The sequence below is a fragment of the Homo sapiens genome, chromosome 8 (assembly GCF_000001405.40).
Source record: "Homo sapiens chromosome 8, GRCh38.p14 Primary Assembly".
NCBI lineage: Eukaryota > Metazoa > Chordata > Mammalia > Primates > Hominidae > Homo > Homo sapiens.
In genome coordinates this window covers 87,425,048-87,439,400 of record NC_000008.11, presented here as the reverse complement: position 1 = coordinate 87,439,400, position 14,353 = coordinate 87,425,048, and the positions used below count along the sequence as shown (strand labels likewise).

Below are 14,353 nucleotides of genomic sequence, written 5' to 3'. Positions count from 1 at the left end.
TACATAAGCTAATGTTACTTTAACATATGAAAAGACATCAGAATCTTATTTTAAAATAACAAAGACAAATTTTATTATTCTTTCAGAATAATAAATGCAGAACCGTTTGTATAATTTAACATTCACTTAATAAAAGCCCTCAGCAAACCAAAAATTTAGAGAATTGTCTTGATCTGACAGGGTACATATGTACAAACACACAGCAAATGTAGTGAAATATTGAAATTGTTTTATCATCACTTCATTCATCACTGGTTTGTCTGGATGAACAAACCAGTGTAATGAGTCAGAAAAATACATCTTAAAACATAAGGAATAAAAAGAATGAATACATATGTCATTATCCATATCCAAATATGGCATGATTGTATTCACCAACATAAATACACTCACATTTATATAAACACATACACACATATACCTGTATACATATATTTTATTTTGGATATGTGTAGTTAATTTTATATTTTATAGTAAAATTTATTCTGTATTTTATATAATTATAATATATAGGTCTTATTTCAATCCCGTTGAGAATGATGACATTTTTGTTTAAACAGGCAATAGCCTGGTTAGATTTAGGTTGCAAATTCCAACATGCCCTATGTGGGCTATGGTTCATAGTCTGTTCAGTTTTCAAAGTCTTTGGCCAGCAAGGGTGGTGGTTTATCTGCTGACTCAGCTTCAGCCTTTTTTAATGCCTATGAAGAACAAATCTATGCATGTGTGGCTCTAGTGTGAGCTTAGGAATTCTTAAATTCATGGGGTCACTTTCGTGAGTGCTTTCATTTATCTCTCTGGTATTTTCCAGTTCCCTGTGGTTCTTCTTCCCATGTCTTTAGCCAGAAAGCTTGGGCATTAGTTACCTCACTCTGCTTTGTACTTCTGAGGCCGTGCCCACCTACTGGGCCAAGCAACATGAAAAACAAAGGAGAAAAATGGTAAACTCATGCCAGTTTGGTATAATTTTGAATTCTGATCTTCTTCCCCAATCTATCTCCCATTGTTTACTTTGCAGAATGGTCAATAGTTGTGATATGCTTTCTGTTCAGACTCTATAGCTGCATTTAGAAAGAGAGTCAGGGAAGAGTCCAGGTAGTTCTTTCCTGGAACTAGGATTCAGAGCAATATTCTTAATAACTAAAAACTTAAAAAGAAAACAAACTGCTTATAAACGGTGGAATCAATTGTATATATTCGTACCATGAAAAAGTAGCATGTTTACATCATGAATTATCATTTGTCAATGTAAAAGAACCAACAGCTGCTATACACATCAGTGTTGATTGATAGATTACATAGACGTAGCATTAGCGAGGCAAAGCCTGTTGCAAAATAATGCACAGTATGTAGTTCCACTCATATAAAGTTCAAGAACAGGCAAAACTAACCTTATCAGAAAATTAGACTAATTGTTACCTTTAAGGAAGATCAATGATTGGGAGTAGAACTGAAGGAGGTCTTTTTGAGTGCTAATAGTATTCTATATTAGGAACTTTGAAGTGGTTATGCGAGTGCTGCCACTTAATACAAATTCATTGTCCAGTACACTTAAGAACTGTATAATTTTATTATATGCATATGATAACTTAATCTAAAAGTCTACAAGTATATTTTAAGAATGGAATGCCACAAACATTGGTCATATCATATTGGTATTTTGATTTTTATGTGTACAAACTTCCAGGATTACTGTAATTGCTATTCAGTTAATCTGTATCATTGTTATAAGTTCAATTTTGCAAATTTCTATGTCTACCAGCCCACCGCTCAAACTCTCTTTACTTCCTATCTTTTCCATTCTCTCCCTTTCTCTCTCTTATATACATATACGTAGAGTTCTTATGCAATTAAATCCTGAATCATTTTAGTTTAAAGACAGATCTAAAAATAGCTAAATATTTATCACTATGTGAAAGTATGTGGAAAAAAACATGAACAAATGACTTTGGATTTTTAGTAAACCCTCTAAATATGAAGAACACTAATCTTCTAAGATATGAAAAAAAATCCAATTCTAAAGTAGGAAAATATATTTTTCCTTAGAATTGCAGCCTTTGGTCCTGAGAATAAATTCATGGCCATTAGAAAGTCATCACATATGCAGAAGTGATAAGCACTGAATGTAGTCAGTGTGGCTAACAATACAACCTGTCCTATAGTAGACTGTCAATTTTTGTTTATGGAATAAAAAATAAATAGTTCATATGGTGACTTGAATTTCCTACTAAATAGAGTTTAGACAATTACAGTGGCAACTTTTGGGTCATTAGCTCTCGGGGTTGTCGACACAGGTAAGTAGTATAGATTTGGTAAACTCTTCTGTCATTTTATTAAATACAGATTTTATCTATTAAATACAGATTTTATCATTTGTACATGATTTATTTATGGATAAATGTACCTGTATTTCTTATTGTAAATAAATTTACAATAAGAAAAGCCTAACAACATTAATTATACATCAAATAACAGGCATAAATTCACCAATTTGCGTTCATTGTCTGTACTTTGTGCATTTCATGAGTAATAATATATTGTATCCTACATACACAAATAAATGACAAAAATGATAGTTTCATTGTAAATTCAAAAGCATGGCTGCCTTGTTTTTTTTCAAAACTAAAACTTCTATTAAAACAATAGAGAATCTCTTTACTGTTTTTAAATTATTTATGCAAAAATAATTGTTCCAATAAGGGAAATGTCTTGAAAACCTGTTTTTAAAAGCATAAATCATTGCCACATTCTGTAAATTTGCTTTAGATTATTTTCTCTTCTGGAAAACTGTAATTAAAAAATAATTTCTCACAATAATTATGCATGAAAAGAATATTAAATCAAGAATACTTTTAAAAGAGATTTGTTCAAATTAGAATCAGAGTACTTTTCAAGTGGTAAACTAATATTTGTTTTTCACTTCTTAAAGTTTATATTCATAATTGATTTGGTAGAAATATAAAGTAACACAGTCACACTAGACTTTTGGAAATTTCCTCTGTGTTTATAGCTTTTATCTACATTTCTCTTGGAGAAAACATCAGTTTGCAATTTAAAAATCATGTATCATACAGTTGGAACAATCTACTGCAATTATAATGTTTATGACTGGAAATGTAATAGAATAAATTGACTGTATTAAAAAATTAAGTGCTGGTCTATTGAGATTATTTAAAAGATATCTAAAAATAACAGTGTATTTATTTACTTAATTGAAATATTTTCTGAATTATATTAATAGTGTAATTATTTCTTCAGTCCATTCTCCTTTATTATACATTATTATTAAGCAAATGAACAAAACAAATACTGTTTCTAAAATTATCTGGTAATAATCTTATTTTTATATTTCTTATTTCTTATAGAGACCATAAATTAAATAACATACTAGTAATCAAAAGAATATTATCACAAAATTATACCATTTTGGTTATATTGATTAAAGTTAAAATGATTTAAATTAGATAGTTGGCACTAGGTAATAAATCTGGATTCAGTTTATTTATTGTGTTCAAAGATGTATCTTAAAAGAGCTTCTTATTATATATATACATATGTGTGTATATATATAGCTACACATTTTATATATATATATATATATATAAAACTTCGAAATAAAATATATGCTGACTGAAAAAAATTGGAACAGAGGGAAAATGAGGATAGGAAAATGAGCTGATGTCAGAAGTGAGATAAGTACACTAAGAACATGACAAGCGTTCCTGTGCATCTGATGGAGATGGGTCACAAATTTAGGCCAAAGCTTTCCAGTAGGATTGATCTAGAAGGATCAGTGATTCATTTAATGGGTCATAGTATCCTTGAAATAAAAACAAAGTAGTCATTCAGGAGAAGACCTATTCCTGGCACTATAACTGGAAAAACATGTCCCATATGTCTTAATAAAAAGAATATTGGAAATTTCATCTGCACCTATATCCTTATAGTACTGTCAGAAGAGCTCTGACATTTCTGGTAATAATGTCCTCATATTAGGCTGTGCTATCACACAGAACACAATTCAGCAAAAGCCAAAGCAATCTAATATGGATGGATACGGCTATCAGATAACATCGCTTCACCCAGCAAAACACTGTGGTGTGCATATTTTCACTTTGTCTTAGAGGTTGTCCTGTCTGCATGCATGTGTGCTCACGTGTTGATATGGACGCCTTGATAAAAGGAGATACAATATCACTTTCAACAAAAATTTAGTCATTTATTATATTCAGCTTTATCTTTGTATATTTTCCATAATATGTACATTTTAAAAGCGTTTTTTAAAAGAGAGTTTTAAAAGTTTTACATCTAAGCAAAGGGCTAAACAGTATGTTTTCAAAACTTCTCAACCACTGATTCTTAACTGAGTGGAAATAAGTGACGGTTATTTCTGGGTTATCTTTCCTGACTTTTTCTAATATTACTATTTTATTTTTTCTTATCCAGTACAAAACCAACGAATTTAAGAGCTAGTGGAACTAAAATAGGATTATCCTCATCTTTTGAAAGATAAGGGCTAAGATAAGAAAAGTATACAGACTTAAACAGGCAACCTGGATTTGGCTAAGGGTCTTAAAAATTAGTTTGGCTTTTATTTCAGGACCAAACAACAAGAGTTTATTTTTTTTTAAGTTTAGAATTGATGCCAGGAAAATGTTCCCAAGTTTGAAAGGAGTTTTAGCATAATCTCTTATGAAACTTTAAAAAATGTAAGTGCCTGACATTCATTTGAAATATCCTGGGTTAGAAACTTCAGAGGGTCGTGGGAGAACAAATATAACCTCAGAAAGCCCCAGAGGGGAGCCTGTCATGTATTCCATATTGAGACTCATGTATTTGTTTTGAATAAGCTAAATAGGAAAAAATATGAGAAAACAAAAATAATTCCTTTCTTTATTTTGAAAGTTCAGTCTGCTCTGTAACTTGTCACCCATCGAGTGCCAAAAAAGAAGCTGGAAAAGATAGACATACCACAGGCATTGTGGGGTGAAGAAACATTACGCCTACAAGCTTCTTCCGTTTTGCTATCCCATGTTCTTTTCTGTCTTTAAATGTCAACAACTCCAGTAAGCAGGGAATGCCAAGAGCACAGTCTCCAGGCCGCATGTGTTATCCTAGCTGTGTGTTGCCCTCTTCAATGTTACTGTGCTCCTGACTTCTGTCATGTGAAATGGGAGACATTGGAACAGTCATCATAAACAGACTTTTTCAGAGAGGATTTAATCATCCCTTTTTTTGTAGGCAACACATACGTTTTAATGGAGATTTTTCAGAAAATTTCAGCAAGCAACATATTCACTGGCAGATGAACCTCAGGACTAGGGAAGGCCCAAATAAGAAGAAACTTCTTAATTTTCCATCTGCCTTCCCATTTACTACATATCTCTTAAATAACTATGGTAAAATTTTTGATATTTATCTTTAAAAACGAAATCAAATTGTTCTGCTCTATTACAAATCTGATTTAGTTCAAGAGTAATCACAGAATGGCTTTTCACCAGCTACAAAGTGTCCCAACTATCTTTTCACACTTTTAAAATGACTATTCTTCCAATAAGTTTTATTCTATGCCTAGAGTAAAATTCATTTTATTTTAGTAGACCATTATATTAAACTTGACTTACAATGTTTTAAATGCTTTTTTTCGTATTCGCTCTGCTCCTTTTTCAACTTAGTGAGTCATCCCTAATTTAAAGTATGGTCTTTAATCTCTCTATAGCTAAAACTTTTTTTTTCACATTCTGTCAACAATTACTCTTATATCTATGTTATTTCTGTTGCTTTCCTTGAGCCTCATTTATTTACCAAATCAAGGGCACCAAATACTTTCCTTGAAATAACTCAATTTATTCTACAAAGTATCAGTTGAGAGAAAATGGTTTTGCCACTTCTTGCCCCTGGCAAAATATCAGAATATACCAGTTTAAAAGACAGGGTAGTTAAACTAATTGTCTTACATAAAATTATTCCTGTGGTGAAAGACATGTGGGTGCCGAGCAGACTCTATTTCAATGTTTCAGATACTGGTGGGTTAATAGGCAGTCTTGGATCATTTTGTGGGAAAAACAATGTCAACCATTTTCTTCAATATGTACTTTGAATTAGGCACATCTTTCAGATAGAAATCCATAATGAGTGGTAGGACCAAAGAGAATATTGAAACTAATGTAGGTAACAGGTTTCATTTGATCTTTTTCAGCAAAATATATTCAGAATTTCTGCTTCTGTATAGAGTAGGTTAGTTAGTGATAGACCATTGCTTTTGCTGAGCACAATTAGAAGAGCTGGGGGAAAAAATATGCCTTTAATGAAGTTATAAAGATATGGTAATCTAGAGAAGTTGAACTATCAATGTGGAACTGACTGCTGCTTTGGGGGCTGTTGCTGATACTGCTAAAGGAATTTGCCTAAGCAGAGGTACATTGCTAGAGAACAGAGAAACCAGCTGAGCTTTCGGTAGTCTTTTCTATCTACAACGACAAAATTAGAGACTCTAAGGGGACTCAAACACATGATCAATTGTTCCACCGAGATGTCTGTGCAGGGCAACAGGCTCAAAAGCTAAGCCAAAAGCTGTTGGAAAAACGCTGAGATTTCATCAGTCTTCCCTAAAGAAACAAAATTAGAGTTTAGGACTTGACAGTGGTGAGGCCCAGGTGATATTTTCAAATCTCATTGAAAACCCTGAAGAGTAACAGGGATGAATAAGTAGACTGAGGCTTGCCACTCTTGTGACATGGGATCAATTTTCTCTGATTGCTTAAAGTGATCAATCCCCCATTCTAATTGCCTAAAAAACATTAATAATCCTATCACGACAAAGTTATTATTTGAAGTCGATAAATTTTTGGACAAAATATCCAGCGTTCAATTGAAAATTACCAAGTATAAGAAGAGCAAGACTATGTGACAGAGAACCAGGAAAAACAATACAATTAGATATCTTGATGCACCAAAGATTCAGATATTAAAGTTAGTAGAAAAGAAATTTAAAATAACTTTGATTAATACGTTCAAGAAATAGTAGAAAAGTTGGACTAAAAGGATAAAAAATATAGAATATCACCTGATAATTGGCATCTATATAATTGGAAATGAAGAACTCAATAGATAGATCAATCCCAAATTGAAAACAGCAGAAAATAGAATTAGTAAGCTGGAAGGAAGAGCAATTAAAATATGAGAACTGAAATAGAGATTAAAAGATTAAGAAATACCCAAAAATATGTAGGAGGAAAACACATACAGGGAAAATTTCTCATGTATGTTTAAATGGAGCCCCAAAAGGAGAGCAAAAAGAATGAGGCAGAGAATTATTTGATAAAATTCTGGCCAAAAATTTTCTAAAGCTAATGAAAGACAAATTCCTATATTCAAAAAAGCTGTAAAACCTAAACAGAATAAGTAGGAATAAAACCAGAATAATATGTAAACTCACCAAAGTAAAACCAATGAAAAGCAAAGATAAAAATAAAACCTTAAAATTACAGTAGGTTATTTTTGTGGATATTGACAAATCAATTTGTCTCCAAAATTTAAATGTAAATCCAAAGGAGAGGGGAATTGGTAAGACAGCTATGAGAAAAAACAAAGTGGGAAGATTTACTCCACTAAATATATCAAAAATGATATAAAAACCCCCAAATTAAATAATTGTGGCATCGAGATGAGGATAGACAAATGCAACTATTTTGTAAAATATTTTGTACATTAACTTATACATACATGGTCAGTTAATTTATAACAATGGTGACAATGTAGTTTAGTGAGTAGATAATGGTCTTTTTTTACACATGGGACTGGGAAAACTAAATATAGATATGGATAATAAAACCTCCACCTTAAATTCACTCTATAGACAATCATCAATTCCAGATTGATTATAGGTTAATTGTAAAATGTAAATAATGACATTTTTAGAAGTAAACACGGAGAATTAAATATTATTTGAACAGGTGAGCAGGAGTGAGGTCTTATTGGTAAAGGTTCTCTTTGTGGCACCATACATAAAAATTTGACTTTGTTTAATCATCCAATCATTATCCAGGCAAAACTGAGCTATGTCTGAAACTCCCCATTTAATAAACTAGTCAAAATAATTCCATGTATATTAGTCTGTTTTTGCACTGCTGATAAAGACATACCCAAGACTGGGCAATACACAAAAGAAAGAGGTTTATTAGACTCACAGTTCCACGTGGCTGGGGAGTCCTCACAATCATGGCGGAAGGTGAAAGGCACATCTCACATGGCAGCAGACAAGAGAAGAGAGCTTTTGCAGGAAAACTCCCTTTTTTAAAACCATCAGAGTTTGTGAGACTTATTAACTATCACAAGAACAGCAAGGGAAAGACCTGCCTCCATGGTAATTGAACAATTACCTCCCACTGGATCCCTCCCACAACATGTGGGAATTGAGGATGAGATTTGGGTGGGGACACAGCCAAACCATATCACTATGTCTGTGGAAAAATTGCTGATCAGTATGAAGCAAGTGCATAACATATGCAGGTGGGTGTTTTATAGAGATATATAACCTACTAATTTAATTTTGACCCTGCTGGACTTAGTTAAAATAATGCTAGTTTGTGCAAAGTACTGAAACAGACGCTCCTGCTGGAAAAAAAAGCAAAGTGCAAAGTAGCCAAGAACTGTCACAAAACAACACAGTGACAAACATGCAATTAAAATTGAATACTTGAATGATCACTAACATATTGCCAGAATAAAGTATGTTTCCTTTTATTTTTCGTGTGCTACATGGTTTAACACAGATGTGGCTGGCTTAATATGTGGCATCTGTTCTTGCCTCCACCAAACTGAAAATTTGAGTTGGCACATTTTTCTACTCAGAATTTAAAAATAAATCTATTTAAATCAAAATCATTAGTGAGCAATTGAAGACTTTGAAGGAAGACAGAAGGTTTACTGCAAAACTGACACTGCAAACTGCTTAAAAGAATTTAATTAGAAATGTCTATTTTCTTCTACATATCTCTCGACACACTTCCAACCTAGGATTTTCTCCTTGCTTCATTTTGCTTTTTCCACTGCCTTTCAAATGTCTGCTCTCCTGATACATCACAATCCTCATTATGCCTGGACCCCTGGAAGGAATAATCCAGGTTTCTTAGGAGGGTGGCAGTTCTAGCCAGTTAGTCCTATTCAGCATTTCCTATCCCCACTAATCCTGGTGAGTAACATCTATCACTGCTACATTTCCTATAGAAAAAACATGTTTTCCTCTCCTTTCCTCCCCACCAGAAAAAAAAATCTTAAGGGGAAGACAACATCGAAGATTTACCTGAGATAGCCAGGGCTCCATTGACTCCTGGCTTAAGCTCCTTTCCCAGCTAAGGAATTGAGGAGACTATTTTCTACATCCGTTTTTGGAGTATTGCTTCCTATCCCAGTCTGATGGCTTAGCTACAAAGAAAGTATCTTCCCTCAACTCCAAACTTGTCCCTCTCAGTTGACTCAGGCAAAGTTCCACTTGTACCAACAGAGTCAGTAGTTAGAACTTAAATTCAGAGAACATGCAATTTTTGTGATACAAACTAGCAAATGCTCATCTTATAACATCCCTCTTCTTGAGGTCACACACCAACTACCATCATGATTTGTGTCATTTGGTAACCATGGCAAGGAAACACTCATTGCACTTTCATCAAGATGATTTAATCCAAAAGACAACTGAAAGCTGCACCCTAATTCACAAATATCAGATGAGCTCTCTAATTTTAACCCTGAAGTTGCCTCCTTTCGGGGAAATACTGTTCTCACTACACTTTAGTCAAAAAGGAAGACTCAGCATGTGTTCAAACTCAACCATAAGGAAACACTGAAAACATCAGAATGAGTCAGATGGATTTCACTAAGGATTTTGTTAGGAGACAGAGACATTTAGCACCACACTATAAACAATTTAATCTTTTAAAAACTCCTTTAGGTATTTCTGTTCCTCCCAGATCCTATTTGGGTACACTGCCAATCCATTTCCTTCTCCTTTTGGCTTCTTTAACATCCTTATATCACACATCACAGTCTGCCACCTTTTACAGACACCCACCCATATACATGGCCTATGAGAGCTGAGGCCATTTGGGTTTTGCATTCTTTTCATGAGGAGCAATACCATCAGGCCATCTGGGCTTCTCCAGACTCCTATGGAAGCTATTGACTTGAATGCTGTTCATATTCATCATATTAAAAACTTGTTCAAAGTTTTAGTCACTTTTTTGTATAGATTATTAAATATTCTAGCATGAACTAATGCATAGTGGTTCTTTATGCATTCTATGGGCATATTCTAATATGAATTTTATAGAGATTGGCATGAGGTGTATTTGTTCAAACTACAATATTTTATTCATATAAAATGGACCTACTATAACTAAAAAAAAAAGTGACCCCTGGTCTTTGAAATATCTGTTTAAATGTTTATGTTCCTCTTTAAAAATGTAAAATTCTTTGAGGTAAGGCTTATTACAAGAGTAATTTTGTTGACACAGACTGAAAGTTTTTGAAGGATGTTATAAATATCTCTTTTACCAAAAATAGTACCTTAGAGTAAAATTAAAGCACATAAGTAGGTGGATGGTTAATGCACCATTTACAAATGTCTTATTTACATAAACATTTACAAATGTCTTATGTCATTATTTTCTAGAGCAGATAACATTACAGTTATCTTAATAGGAAGGCTACTAGCTATTAAAAAACAATAAACATTTGCATTTAATTACTATGAAGAGTGACATTTATTATAACTTGAACATTTTACTTACATCTGTCAGATGGCCAAAAGTTGGTTTAGCTGTTTGGAGCATAAGTTGCTTGGTCACTGGGTCTAATTCTAGATGAAAACAGAAGAAAACACTTAGAATATCATAAAAAAATAATCTTCATAAAAAGAGCAATTGCTAATCCTATTTTTATCAATATTTCAAAATAGTAGACAAAATTAAATTTTCCCTAATAATTAAATTGATTCATTAGTACTTCTAAGTTCAGACAACCAGACCAACCCATAAAATTTTAGCATCAGTAATTTAGCCTAATTTACACAATGTCCAACTTTATATTCAGAATTTGGAAATTGTTTAGTACTTAACATGTGGCAGACATTAGTGGTTTTCTACCTCAAAGCCATTCATTTATCCGCTGGCAGATTCACTTTCCATGACAGAGGCTGAAACACTAGATATTTGGGTTTTTTGTTTTTGTTTTTCTGACTTTTTTTTTTTCTTTTTTTGCCTTTTTTTTGGTTGGGGGAGGATCTTATGCTCCTAAGATATAGGCATGTTACCCAAACCAAGAGCAGGTAGATAATTTCTTATTTAAGTATGGGCATGTATGAGAATAAAAAGAAAGCATTCATAATTCTGCTTAGACAAGAGAGTATATCAGGCTACCCTACCCAAACCAAACCAATAGGATTTAGAAGGAAGTATGCTGGGGGGGCTTTGGTGAAGGTCTGTGATCCAGGAGACAAAAACAACCTAGGATGGCCAACTGCCCTTTATGTTATGGATGAGGTTTTATTGAATTATAAAGCATGCAGCAGCATCTTGAATGCATGAAAAAACAAAACCAAGGACTACAGCCAATGCACTGAAGACAGACGAGTGAAAACACAGAAAGAGCCAAAATTTTTGCTGACATAATGAAGAGTTTGTTTATTCTTACTTGAAATCAAAAATAACCTCATTCTTTAACTACTTCACTTTTTACTTGTGATGAAAGCATTTTAAATTATTTATATAAACATAAATATTAACAAGTAATTCAATTTAGGACCATAGTATTTTGTGCACAACTCATTCAGATAGTTGGGCAAACTGTTTTGATCATTTTTATTCCCTAGGCTTATGTAATCTCCATATTACATTTTTTCTTCAATATTCAAGACATAGATGAAAGCGCTAATACTTTTAAGGTAAATATGTCAGTTTTAAGCCAGACTACATATCGGTAAACCTATTAGCCCATCTTATACAGCCTACTGAATAATCAATATTCATAAAAAGCCATGGTGTAACTTAATATTTTGAAAACTAATACATACTGCTCTAAATGACAGAATTTTAAAAGCAGTGAAACAATTTTATACCCCAAACTCATTTGATTGTAATGAGTAGAACACATTCAAGCCAACTAACATACAAAAGATGTATGTTTCAAAGGACATACAAGATAATGTAGCAGACTCTTAGGGTATGGCCTAATGGGAATTGAGTCTGAAAGCACATATATCAGGAATGAAGGATGCTAGCTCTTTACAGGGGGAACTGCGAGGTCCTTGTCATGCTGCTGACTTTGTTTTCCCTTCCATTATCTGTTCAATGCTTCCATAATCTCATCTTGTATAACACCTAATAAACATGGGAGCCCCAAGCCAAAGTTTACATGATTTTATTCAAGAAGCTAACAGTTGGCTCCATTATTTGACAAAGTTTATATTATTAATTGAGAAAGGATGATTGGTTTATCCACACCTATAAATTTGTTTATATTAGATTAAGGGTATATCCCTGGTCAAATTAAATCAATTAAGGAACTGTACCTTTTGGGTCTGTCAATGGGATACACAAATGAAATTTTTTGGTAAAAGAAGTGAGCCAAGGAAACTCAAATTTGATTATGCACACTAAGTGCTAGGTGCCACCTCACAGAATCTGCAATTGCCGTTATTTCATGTAGTCCTCACAGAAATTGCTACCAGATAGGTAGCCGCGCCACAATTTTACAAATGAGAAATTGATGTCTCAGGAAAATTAAGCAATTGGCATTGCTAGGATTTTAGCTAAGTTCTGTGTAGCTTGATAAAAAAGTAAAAGTGGATAATTACCTCATTATAAGTTTCTGTTATTGTTTTTAATTGACATAAAGCACAACACAGAATTGTGCAGAATTTCTCTCAATTTTATGGTTGTGAAACTGTAGGAACATCATTTTGTCATAATAAATGTTAGCATTATTATTCAAGTTTTTATACCAACCTTACATTACTCCGATCATGATGTTGCATTTAATAATTTAGAAAATCAAGCAAACAGGGAAGAGCCAAGATGGCCGAATAGGAACAGCTCCGGTCTACAGCTCCCAGCCTGAGCGACGCAGAAGACGGGTGATTTCTGCATTTCCATCTGAGGTACCGGGTTCATCTCACTAGGGAGTGCCAGACAGCGGGCGCAGGTCAGTGGGTGCGCGCACCGTGCGCCAGCTGAAGCAGGGCGAGGCATTGCCTCACTCAGGAAGCACAAGGGCTCAGGGAGTTCCCTTTCCTAGTCAAAGAAAGGGGTGATGGACGGCACCTGGAGAATCCGTTCACTCCCACCCAAATACTGCGATTTTCCGACGGGCTTAAAAAACGGTGCACCACGAGATTATATCCTGCACCTGGCTCAGAGGGTCCTGCCCCACTGAGTCTCGCTGATTGCTAGCACAGCAGTCTGAGATCAAACTGCAAGGCAGCAGTGAGGCTGGGGGAGGGGCGCCCGCCATTGCCCAGGCTTGATTAGGTAAACAAAGCAGCTGGGAAGCTCGAACTGGGTGGAGCCCACCACAGCTCAAGGAGGCCTGCCTGCCTCTGTAGGCTCCACCTCTGGGGGCAGGGCACAGACAAACAAAAAGACAGCAGTAACCTCTGCAGACTTAAATGTCCCTGTCTGACAGCTTTGAAGAGAGCAGTGGTTCTCCCAGCACGCAGCTGGAGATCTGAGAACGGGCAGACTGCCTCCTCAAGTGGGTCCCTGACCCCTGACCCCCGAGCAGCCTAACTGGGAGGCACCCTCCAGCAGGGGCACACTGACACCTCACACTGCAGGGTACTCCAACAGACCTGCAGCTGAGGGTCCTGTGTGTTAGAAGGAAAACTAACAAACAGAAAGGACATCCACACCAAAAACCCATCTGTACGTCACCATCATCAAAGACCAAAAGTAGATAAAACCACAAAGATGGAGAAAAAACAGAACAGAAAAACTGGAAACTCTAAAAATCAGAGCGCCTCTCCTCCTCCAAAGGAACGCAGCTCCTCACCAGCAACGGAACAAAGCTGGACGGAGAATGACTGACGAGCTGACAGAAGAAGGCTTCAGATGATCAAATTACTCTGAGCTACGGGAGGACATTCAAACCAAAGGCAAAGAAGTTGAAAACTTTGAAAAAAATTTAGAAGAATGTATAACTAGAATAACCAATACAGAGAAGTGTTTAAAGGAGCTGATGGAGCTGAAAACCAAGGCCCGAGAACTACGTGAAGAATGCAGAAGCCTCAGGAGCCGATGCGATCAACTGGAAGAAAGGGTATCAGCAATGGAAGATGAAATGAATGAAATGAAGCGAGAAG

The 14,353-nt window shown here is 34.7% G+C and overlaps 1 protein-coding gene across 1 annotated transcript in view, besides 1 other annotated feature; it reads right to left on the bottom strand.

Moving 5' to 3' along the window:
* Positions 1-10,748: 10,748 nt before the first annotated feature.
* CNBD1 (cyclic nucleotide binding domain containing 1) overlaps positions 10,749-14,353 on the bottom strand; it is a 562,238-nt gene continuing 558,633 nt past the window's right edge. Inside the window, exon 11 of the mRNA XM_017013149.2 lies at positions 10,749-10,855. Coding sequence (XP_016868638.1) covers positions 10,764-10,855 — 92 coding nt within the window. The 3' untranslated portion in view covers positions 10,749-10,763. The remainder of the gene's footprint in view (positions 10,856-14,353) is intronic.
* Positions 13,261-13,762: an enhancer, noted in NCBI's record as "H3K27ac hESC enhancer chr8:88437867-88438368 (GRCh37/hg19 assembly coordinates)". NCBI's record gives its function as "activates a minimal SCP1, AML or CMV promoter by ChIP-STARR-seq in primed H9 embryonic stem cells {active_cell/tissue: H9 hESC(primed)}" and the evidence as "EXISTENCE:reporter gene assay evidence [ECO:0000049][PMID:30033119]".